General features: G+C 45.5%; 1 long non-coding RNA gene across 2 annotated transcripts in view; it reads left to right on the forward strand.

The window, feature by feature from the left end:
- The window catches only part of COPB2-DT (COPB2 divergent transcript), a 193,517-nt gene that overhangs the window by 49,708 nt on the left and 132,283 nt on the right, over window positions 1-11,526 (forward strand). The window contains exon 4 of one of the 2 annotated variants that reach the window (NR_121608.1): window positions 4,784-5,094. The exons of the other annotated variant lie outside the window; for it this stretch is intronic. This is a non-coding gene — a long non-coding RNA (COPB2 divergent transcript). Of the gene's footprint in view, window positions 1-4,783; window positions 5,095-11,526 lie in introns of those variants that run through there. 2 annotated transcript variants of the gene reach the window in all.

The following is an 11,526-nucleotide window of genomic DNA, read 5'->3' on the forward strand; positions in this document are numbered from 1 at the left end:
TTGTGGCAGTTGAAATGTTTTGAAAATCAGAATGAGGCCTTTAGAATCAGCACCCAGCAGCTTATTGACCAGGCAGCCTTGGGGCATTGTCTCTCATCCCTAGCCTCGGTTCCCTTGTCCATAAAATGGAGTTAATGGAACATACATTATAGGGCCATTGTAGGGATCGGATAAAATAATGTACATTAAAGATAATAAATGTCAGTTCCCTACTCAAAGTTTTTCCATTGTGCTGTTAAAATTGGACTTTCATTTTATTGATGATTGGACCTTGGTTTGAGGGCAAATGTATTTGGAAATGTTTGTGGCAGGATGAATGTCTTCTATGCCTCCCAGTCTGTACCTACATACCTCGCCTTCAGCACACTTCAGGATTTCACTACTGCTGGGAGGTTTAGGATTTTATTATTCATTTCCAGAACTTGATTTCCATGTGCATTATCTTGTTTGATACATGAGAAACAACAGAATTTTACTGTAATTTCTATGAATAGAACATGATTAAACAGTTGTCAGAAAATCAGAACAAAAGAGAATGCTTTATACTCAAAAGGCTTGCAATCAGCAATAAAAGGTCAGAATGGTGTCTGTCATCTGAGATGGAGTGGGGTTTCCATTACCCCCTCTGGGTGACAGACTCTTGGTTACCAGCTTTTCATCTCTGGATTTCAGCACAATTAAACAGCAGACTCAGTCTGCTGCCCCAGGCTGAAACACAAGTTGAGCACATGTGGCTACTTCTAGTTTATTCAGAGCAGCAATTTGAATTTAAAAAAATAATTAAGATGAGTTAACCAGTCCTCCATGCTCTTTTTGGAGGGACAGTCTGTCCTGAGGTATGGTGGATACCTTCTCTCTAAAGTCAGTTTAACATAGGAACCCAGCAAAACGGAATTGCTCACCAGATTAGAGTTTCGGAAACAATGTTTACAACAAAAAATATTTTGTGGCAACTAGTATACCAAAGCAGTGAATTCAAAGAGCTGGGTTCCAGTTCAGGCACCAAGCATGTATGCCATGGAATCCAGGATTAAATCAGAACAAATAAACAGGCAGTTTTGTCTCAGATGACAACACGTATGCTTTTCATGGAATTAATGTTAAAAGATGGATATACAATAAACCCTGGACACATGCTTAGGCTGGGGCTTCGGAATTCAAAAACATAGGCAGAGCCATGCCATAACTTTCTTAAGTCAGAGTTCCCTGACCAGGCAGATTTCCCCTCTGTTGGAGTGGGTGTGTGAGAGTACAGGTTTGACGTCTTGAAAGTCACAAACATCCTCTGTATGAGAGGAGGGGAATGAAGAAGGGCCTGTGTCGGGTTGAACACAGTTAGGTAGTGATGACGCTGATGAATCAATAGCCACCAAATTGTCCAGCATTGAGGTCAAATGCTTCATGAATTTGGTCATTGGTAACCATGGCATTAGTAGCATGGCCCATTGTGAGTGTGACTCTGTGTGTGTGTGTGACTGTGTGTGTGTGTGCTTGCATGTATACACATTCAGTGGAATGAGAACAGAAATAAGACATTTTGAACAATTACCCAATTAGCTGTCCTACAATTACGGGAATGTGACATTCAGTTAAAAATGCAAGGATCATTTTATGTTAAATTGCTCATTTTGAAAGCATCCTCTTGGCTCAGTCGCCATGCCAACTGGTTCGTAAAGTGGTGCCCATTGCTTTTGAGAGGCAGGACAAGATAGTATCCTTCATACCATGCCTGAGCCAGCTTTCTTATTTAGCAGAGTTGAAAGCAGGGAGGGAAAGGGTTGTGGTTGGGAGCTGGGGGCTCAGCCAGATTCCCCTTTCAGTGATTTCTCAGGCATGAGGATGACCTGCCTTGGCCACTGCATCTGAGGAAATATTGCAGGGGAGAGGCAGGGCAGGGCTGGGAGACTGCCTGAGCAGGGATGTCATTGTACAGTCAGTTAGAGGTCTCTTTTTAAAGCAGGGTGATGTATGGCAAAAAATGAAAGACAAGTGAATAGGAGCAAAATGGCAGGTTCCAGAGAGTCAGCAGCATCACTGATTGGGGTCCAGCTGGACGCTCACCAATAATTCCTCCTGGCATCCAGAAAGCCACGATGGGGGCAGAACCTAAAAATCCTTCTTCCTCTTCTTTGTTTTCAAGTGCCTCTTCTCATGGTCTGACCTGCTCAGCCACCCAGAGCCCATCTCTAGGGCATACAAGAACCTCAGTTTTCTTTGGCATCATTCCCTGCTGGCCTCATGCGCACCCACTGCCCACCCATAAAGAGAACACAAGCCTGAATACAGTGGAGCCCACTATTCCCACATGTATCATTTTCACATTCTGGAGCTCAGAAAGAAGCAGCTGAGTAGAATCAGGATTTCAAAGGACACCAGGCCTCTGCTTCTGACTTGGGTGGCAGCTCAGATCCTAGAGCCTGGAGAGGGCTCTGCATCCAGTGAATGCTTAACAAACAAAAGCTTATCTGACATGGAATTCCTGAGAAAGCCCCATTAGCCAATGCTCTTCTCTCCTGCACTATGAAATGTAGTGCTCATAACAGTCCTATTGTAGGACATTAACCAGCACTTGCTTAAAGCAAGGGGGGCTTTCCAATCTGTGTTTATTGCAGGCTCTGCTGCTCCACAGCTGGGAAATGTGGACAGGTTCCTTGGGTGTTCTGAGCATCAGAGAGCCTTGTCTGTAAAATGGGGATAAAAATGCTACCTACCCCACTGAGTTATTGTGAGGACTAAATGAGCAAATGCATGGGAGGGGTCTAGCTCTGTGCCTGGCACACAGTAAGTACTCAAAAATGATTACCTTTATTATCATATACGTACTTTCAAAAGATGACTCAGTGTCAAAGCTGAGACTCCTAGAGAGGATCCGTAGCCCCCCAGCCCTGCACACAGATCCCGGGCCCTGGGTACTGAGACACAGGCCAAATGGGATACGATTCGACCTTCACATGACCACCAGTGGGGTCTTTCTGAAAAGGGAGCTTGGAATTCAGGCAATAGATATGAAACGCAAAGGAGCAGGGAAAGGTCTAGGGGACAAGGGTTGGGCAAACAGTGTTGAAGTGCCAGCTCCGTTGTTAGCTACCTAGACCAGGGAAAATCAAATTAACCTTTTTGTGCCTTGGTTTCCTCATCAGCCATTGAGATTTTGATACTACCTTTCCATCCTAGTTCTTATAAAGATTACATAAGATAACAAATATGAACGTGCCATAACAACTGACAGACACCTCATAAATGTAAGATGGTCCTTTTAGTTACCCTGAACCCAGTGCAGTGCTTTATAATGTCTCCTGATTTGAAAGCATGAGAGCCCGAGAGAGGGCAGCATGGCTTTCAGTGTGGTGGCTATTTTCCTTAGACCCTCATTGTCATTGGAAAGAGGTCTGGAATGCAAGACAGGAAAATCTGAATTTGAGTCCCAGCTTCCCCCATCACTAAGTGATCTTAGCAAGTCTCTTCTATGGCTTCTCACAGAGAGGAGTAGTGTCAGATGACCACTGAGGCTTTCATGGCTCTAGTTCTGTGAGTTTTATTGAACTCCTTATCCCTCTAGCCAGAGATAACCAGGTTCCCCTCATAGTCCTTACTTAAAACATTTTTTAAAAAAGGTTTATTGAGGTATAATTGGCAGACGATAAACCGAGGACTCCCACTTCTGGCCAAGGTGGAGAATCAGGGGTGAGAGTCTTGACCCTGTAAGTCTTCCATGGCCTCATGTTTTAGAGAAAATGGAGCCGCTTCCTGGCTGATGCCTTTGCAGCCCCCAGAACCTCATCTGATTAGGGAAAGCAGCACTATTTTTTCTAATTATCCTGACATTTCTGACAAGGCCATTGTTCTTTAATCCTAAAAAGATTTGAAATCATTCTAATCCGGCTGGGCTCATGTCACACGACACTGGCTTCCGGGGTTTCCATGAGCTAGAAGTGCATTAACATTCCCCAAAGGTCACAATGGGACTAAGAAAGGGCCTCCAGGCCTGTGATATGGGAGAGAAAGAACTTTGAGAGAGTGATCTTTAAAAAATCGTAACGAAATCTTTGGAACCCCGACTCTTTCTGCAAAGAAGCAGGTTTTGTCCAGCTCTTCTAGGCTCCCTGAAAGTCAATAAGACCCAGGGAGAGTAGAATGAGCCAAACGGTGCCAACACCCAAAGCCCTACTAGGAGGAAATCTTGTAGACAACTGCAACTGTCTGGAAGTCTATTAAGTTGGGGTAAGATTAATCCTAAACTTGGATTATAAGGCCAGAAAAAAAAAAAAGTCTTTTTAACAAATGTATTCCAGAAAGTCATCAGCCATGTGGTCAATCGTGGAAAATAATGTTATCAAAGAATAATCAACAACCCAGGAAAAGTCTCCACAATACCAGCTTCTCATTCTCTGCAATAGTGACATTTGGGGCTGTCCTGCATGTTGTAGGATGATTAGCAGCATTCCTGGCCTTTACCTACTAGATGCCAGTAGCACCCCACCCCCAGTTTTGACAACTGAAAATGTCACCAGACATTGCTGAATGTCCTCTGGGGGGCAAAATTGTCCCTGGTTGAGAACCACTGCACTAGAGCAATATGGTCCCATTTTGGTTTAAAACAAGAGAGTGATGATAGACTATTGTTTTGGCCACAATTTATTCAGTGACTGTTTCATGCCAGGCACTGTGTAGAGCATGTTACAAATAGAATATCATTCCTCTGTGGCTAGTGGATTACAGGGAACTCTTTTATTTTAATGAGAAACACATAAACCATTGACTTTGGGTCTTCCAATTTCTCCAGTTAATTTGCAGGTTCTCCCTCTGCCTGCCACCCCACCCAGCAAGGAGGAGAGGAAGTGTTGAGAAGGGAAGAGATGAGTCCTGGCCCTGTCACTTCTTAGGGGTGTGCTTTTGAACAACCTGCTCACCATGTATGAACTTCACTCTTCTTGTTTATAAAATGAGGACAATGACACCTGCAAGACTGTGAGGTTTAAAAACAAAATCTGTGTTGAGAGGTAACTTGCCTCTTTTACTTACCAATGATTTCCTCAATGCCTGGTGACTGGGGCTGGTTCATACTAGACGATCAATAAATGCTCCTTGAATGAATAGGTGGATGAAAGAAATGTCTGGCATCTATCACAGGTGCTGGCACTGATAAGTGCTTGATAAATAGGCTGGCTGACTGTGAGTGATGCTGACGGGCAAAGGACAGAGACACCAGGAAGGAGAACAGGACACGAAAGATAACTGTCTCAGCCCTTGGGGAGTTTCTGACCCAGGAGGATGGGAACATCAATTATCAATAGTTACAGATCATTAAATAATTGCAAGTGTGAGGCGCACTATAAAGAGGAGGCTCAGAGTCCCCGCATGCTCACACTCACACCTGGCCACAGACAGGTGACACCCCTGGCTTGCCCAGGCCAGCGGGTCTGCAATGAGGCCAAGGACCTGGGCTCTTGAGAAGTTTTAAGTTTGAAAACATTGCTTTTTAAGCTTAAAACAATGAACCTTAATAAAAGTAAACACTTCCATTGAGCTTTGAAACACTTAATAGGAGTTAAAAGTAATTAGGCTAATAAAATAGTCTTTTGTTCCAATTCAATAAGTGCTTTCTTTTATTAACTTCATTGTCCTTTAAGATTGGGATTAAGGTTTGTCTGCATTTGGAAAAGGTCACATTTGCCCAAAGACTGATGGGTGATAACAGTAAGGCAGCCCCCTGCACAGGGAGAGGCCAGTAAGAGCCTGGGCTCCATGAAACTGCATTTCAACTCCAACCCTGATGTCCTGCCTGTCTCCTGGGCATGTTTATCTTACACTGCTAAGCATCAGTCTCATTTGTACAGTGAGAATAATATCACTGTGTAAGGTTGTATTGAGAATTAAGAGAGCTCACGTATGCCTGTAAAGTACCTGGCATACCGCAGGGTACAAGGAGGGCGTTGTTAGCTGTGATGGCCCCTTTCCTTCTTCCCTTTACTTCAGAGGTGACCTCTCCAAATCACATTTAGTCCTTAAACCTCAGGTCAGGCGATAGTGCTGATGGGCAACCCTCCCACCCAGGTTTGGCTGCAAGTCACTCCTCTGGGCTCCTCTGGGCTCCTACAGCCTCCCGCATGGTCCCTCTCATGCATCCTTGTGATGGTCTGACCAGGAGCTTCTTGAGGACAGGGGTTGGGGCCACTTGCCTGCGTGCTTCTCCATGCCCATTTGCTATCAGATGCCTTCCCCTTTCTGCTCTGCACTGCGGGGAACTACATTTTCCAGGCTCCCTGGGCAGTGGCAGGCTTCCGGCTAGTTTCTACCAAGGGGAGCGCTGATGGGAGATGAAAAAGTGGGAAAAAAGGAGAAGCCAGGATGCTTCTCTGTCTCGTCTTCCTTTTTCTCTTTCAGGGGTTTTTGGTAGTGGCTGTGTCTCCCTGATAGCTCCTCTCTATGATCCAGCCCTGCTTGGCAGCCCTGGCTTCTGGGTTCTGAAAACACCACGTTCCTCCTTGTGTCCCTCTATCTAGTAATTGGCAGCTTTCTGATGTTGCTAAGTTCTGACTTGCTTCACCATCTCCTATTTGGCTCCTCAGCTTTTCCATCTTCTGTGTAACCTGTTCCCCGTACTAAATTTCCTCTGTGTGAAATGCCTAGCATGGTTTCTGTTTCCGTGGTGGGACTCAGACGGATACATTCTGTGTCCCTAAGCCTCTGACACAGCACCTGACCCATGATAGGATCTCAGGAAGCTCTTTTTTGGCTGAGTACATTTCCCATTGTAATATTCCCCAAAGGTGGGATTTTGTTCATCTTTTTACAGGCTTTCCTCTGGCCCTCCCTTGCTTTCTGTAGCTTTAGCAGGCCAGAAGCATGAGGAGCAATTAAAGTGAGCACCAGCCCCAGAAAAGTAGTGATCAAATGTTTAAAGTTCTTGAAAATTCTGTCTAGTTCATTTCTATTTCATTTTCTTAAGCCCCAGATTCTAATTGTATCTGTCTACACAACAAGTGTAATCAGGGAGCCAAAATTAAATTTCCCCAATCCCTGCCCTTCTAATCAATCACAAATCACGAATGAAAAGAGCAGATTCAAGTGGAAGAATCAGCTCCAGGAGGCCAGTCTTTCCATTAGCTCTGTTAGGCTCTCCACAGAGGTGGGACCTATCTCTCCCCACCCACTCCGCCCCAGCAGGGGAAAATGCAAACAAGTCACTTTTGATGACCACCTGTCTGCAGTGGTATTGGTCTCAAAGGAGACCTAAAGTGAATGCCAATTTCAGAAAAATAAAGTTTGGGGATATGGTTTGGATGTTTGTCCCCACCACCCCCACCCCACCAATTTCATGTTGAAGTGTGATTCCCAATGTTGGATGTAGGTTCTGGTGGGAGGTGATTGGATCATGGTGATGGATTCATTATGAATGGTTTAGTGCCATCCCCTTGGTGATAATGAGTTCTCACTTGGTTAGTTTTTGTGAGATCTGGTTGTTTAAAAGAGCCCAGAACCTCCACCTGACTGTTTCTTGCTCTCTTTCTTGCCATGTGACATCACTGGCTCCCCCTTTGCCTTGTGCAATGATTATAACCTTCCTGAGGCCCTTATTGGAGGTAGATGCCAGAGCCATACTCGTACAGCCTGCACAACTGTGAGTCAATTAAACCTCTTTTCTTTATAAATTACCCAGTCCCAGGTACTTATAGCAATGCAAAAACTATCTAACACTCCTGGTTTCAAATGATTGGGAAGAAATGGGATTAGAGGTCTCTGAAGATGCCAGGGCTCTGGAGATTGCTGGGGGAAGGATAGCCCTGTCCCTGTCAGGGGCCGCCTCCTGTGTGGAGGGCCTTAGGGCTCTGGAGAGAGAACCCCTGTGTTCAAATTCTGCCTCTGCTACTTACCAAATATGGGACTTTGAGTATTTCACCTGGTCTGAATGGGCACCTACATCCTAGTCCTGGAAACAGCTCAAATAGGGACAGAGGAGGTGCTTAACAAAGGATTAAGCCTACAACCTGGATCTATTCCTTGCCTTGAAGACCAGTTGAGGGCCCAGGATGAGCCTCCTGTGGGTGCACTAGCTCTGCTTTAATTGCCTAGTTCTAAAATGAATCTTCCTTTGCATTGGAGAAAAAAACAACAGAGGCTACAGAAAGCCCCTGGGGTCTGTCTCAGCTGCTATTGCTCTGACTGTGGTCTGTGAACCCTGGGTAGGCAAGACATAGCTCCCACCTGTTCCTCTTTTCATCTCTTGCTGGTGAGGAGCAGGTGTTCTTTCCAAGCTTCTCCTATCTCTCTCCCCTCTTCTTACTTGTTCCAGTCTTTCTCCCTCCTCTTCCCTCTCCTCTTCTTTCTTCTTCCTTTGCCTTATCCTCTTCCCTGCTTTCCTCTCTCCCATTCTTTCCCCCTCCTCTGCTCTTTTCTCCTCTCTCTTTCTCTCCTCTCCCTTCCTCTTCCCTCTGCCTTCCTCTTCACTTCCCTTTCCTCCTACCCTTTCCCCTCCTTTCCCATCTTCTCTCCTCCTCTACCCCCTCATCCCTTCCTCTTCACCTCTCCCCTCTGTTTCCCTTCCTCTCCCTGCAACATTCTCTCCTCTCCTCCTTCCTCCTTTCTCTTCTTCCTCATTCTCCCCTCCTGTCCCTTCTGTAGCTCCCCTTATCCCTTGTGGCATCAGCATCTCCCAGCCTCAAAACTGGCAGTCACTGTTTCATCAGCTCTGGCCCCAGCCAAAACCTCCCTCCCTTCTCAGCCAGCAGCAGCTGCTGGACTCTTGAAGGGGGTAACAATTAGTCATTGGAGGGTGGCAGTGGTTGAGGGAGACAGAGCGTGCCAGCCTTTGCAGTCATTGCTCTGTCACCTCATGTACAACAGGCTTAACTCAACACGTGATCTTCCCTTTGGCACCCCCCTCTCCCTCTGCCACTGCTGAGCTGTGTTGTGTGTATTTGTCCTCCCTCGTCCCCACACCCACAACCATCTTTATGCCCTCACCTCCTCTGTGAGCTTTATGCAGCCCTGCCTAGTGTGGCAGCTCCTTAAAGCACCTCTCTTGTTCTTCCCTTCCTTCCTGTGACCACTCCCTATCCCTAATATGGGTCCCTCACTGCTTCTCCCCTGAAATACTTGATCCTGGGTTCCTCTCCCCACCTTCATCTGTCCTGTCAACAATGACTGGAGTGCATTCCTGGTTCATGTCCTCCTAGGGATGAAAAAGAGTGACATCTTTCCTCCCCACCACACTCCTAGAACAAAAGATAGGTTAACAAGAGAAAAGCATAACACATTTATTTAATCAAGCTTTTATGTGATATGGGAGACTTCAAAAATGAAGACCCCAAGACCCAGGGGAAACTGTTTTTATGCTTAGGTTTGATGAAGAGTGGACAGCCATGTACTCTTTTTGTATTGGACAAAAGGGGTATAATCCAGTAGTAATAGACTGAATGGGAAAACCCAGCAAGGCCTGTCTGTTCAGATTCTTCTTGGCCTCTCTGTTGTAGCATTTCTTCCTTCTGGGTATGATGCAGGACCCCTCTGCAATGAGGGCCTTAGGATCTAATATCAGATAAGGGTAGGTCAGAGAATTTCTTTTTGGCCACCTCCTAGACAGAAGGGGATGGGGAGGTCAGAGTAGTATTTCCAGGGTTCATGGCTTACTTTGGGGGAGAGGGGTTCCAGTTTTTATGACCCACCTAGGGTACAAGGAATTATGTTTCTATGACTTGCTTTGAGGGAGAAATGAGGGGTGAGAGATAGGAAGCAGGAAGTCAAAGAGACCATGGTTCTGAGGTTGCTTCTGAGGTCTTCCAATGTCCTTTAGTTCAAAGTACTCAGCACACCAAAGTGCTATACTTTGGGGTATCATTTTCTGAGCTGCAGAATCCCAGATACATCACTCTCCTCAGAAGCTCTGGCTCTCCTGGTGCACTGACTGAGACCAAACAAGTGTTCATGACCTACCCAAGCCTGAGAGAACAGCCCTCCAGATCCTGGTCCTCCTGCCTTCCACCATGGGCAAGAACCCCCACCCCACCTCTCCCCAACCCTCCTTGCCTTTTTCTGCTTCCCGCCTTTGCTTGTGCTGGTTCCTTCTCCACCTGTTCCCATCACCCATACCCTGTTCCCATCACCCACTGCCATTATCCAGGGCCTAAACATCTCCCCCATTATGAAGCTGCTCTAGAGAGGGTGACGTCGCTTCTCTTATAGGACTCGTTGGACACAGTCAGGGGCCCTAATACTGCATCAGCAGAAAGATGTGTGAGTGGTTCACATGACCTTTGACCACTGACTTTACTCACCTATGGAGGTGGACTTGGGCTTTTGCTTGAGAATGTGGGTGTGCATATGTGGGAAAATATGTTTAAAATGATCATGCTTTGGATGAACGAGGCTGGGTTTACCAGTGTATTTGCTAAGCACTTGCAGAGGACTCGACTGGGGAGCTTGAAATAATACATATTCCAGGGCCCTGTCCCTGACCTCAGAACCAGATTAGAGGAGCAGGGGAGGTGGCAGTAATCTGTGTTTTTAATAAGTCCTTCTGTTTGATCTTCACATTTGGAAATGACTACAGTAAGTGATCTCAGTATTAAAACTCTTAGAAAGCAAAGAGTTTTCATGAAGGAAATAATCACCTCATTATATATGTATTACAATGGATAAATATATGGGATTGGGGAGGAGAATCTGTATATAGGGAGAGAATTGACTGTTGTTTCAGGCACTGTACCACAGGGTCTTATTCATTCCTTACTACTTCCCATGCAGCAGGTTCTATAATCCTTACTTTACAGATGAGAAAGGGGAGGCTCAGAGAGGGGAAGTAACTGCTGCATAGTCACACAGCTGGAGAGTGACAAGGTCCATGTTCAAACCAAGGGCTGATGCCAAAGTCCAAGCTTGAACCACACTGCAATGCTGCCCATTTGTGAGCCTGAATTTTTTTTTTAACTTTCAAGGACAGGTTTTCTTTAACTTTCAAGAACAGGCCCCACTGGTTAATGGCTAACCCCAATGTCTCTCATGATACTCCCTGGAGGTAGGGTTCTGAGGTTCCAAGAGTGCTTCCCACTGGCCTGCCCTGTCCTCAGTATAAGCCCTAGATGGGTCTTAAAATTTAATCTTTTCTACTGTATTCCCGACTAGGCTTGTTGGTGCTGGAGTGAAGCATTCCTGCCATGGTTTGGTTCTGAAACAGGCTGAGGGAACAGAAATATGAGAGAGGCAACTTGACTTATCCCATCCACAGTGAGTGCTGGAATGAAAAGAAGGCCCTGGCCCAAAATAGATGCCCAGGCTTTTCAATGGGACCTAAAATTTTACTACTTTGAGTTCAGATGCATCTTCTTTGAAAAAGAATTATCAGTAGAATGAATACAGCCACCATGAGTCTTTCATACTATAGGTAAACTAATTCATTCAGTTACTTTTCATTTGTGGAAAAAATATACTGAGACTATTCCACTTGGAAAATGAGAGTTTTAAAGTATATTGTTGCCATGTATAATTGAAAAAGTGGCATGCACATGTTGGGAATGAGTTCATTGCTTC

This window comes from Homo sapiens, chromosome 3 (assembly GCF_000001405.40).
Source record: "Homo sapiens chromosome 3, GRCh38.p14 Primary Assembly".
Lineage (NCBI taxonomy): Eukaryota > Metazoa > Chordata > Mammalia > Primates > Hominidae > Homo > Homo sapiens.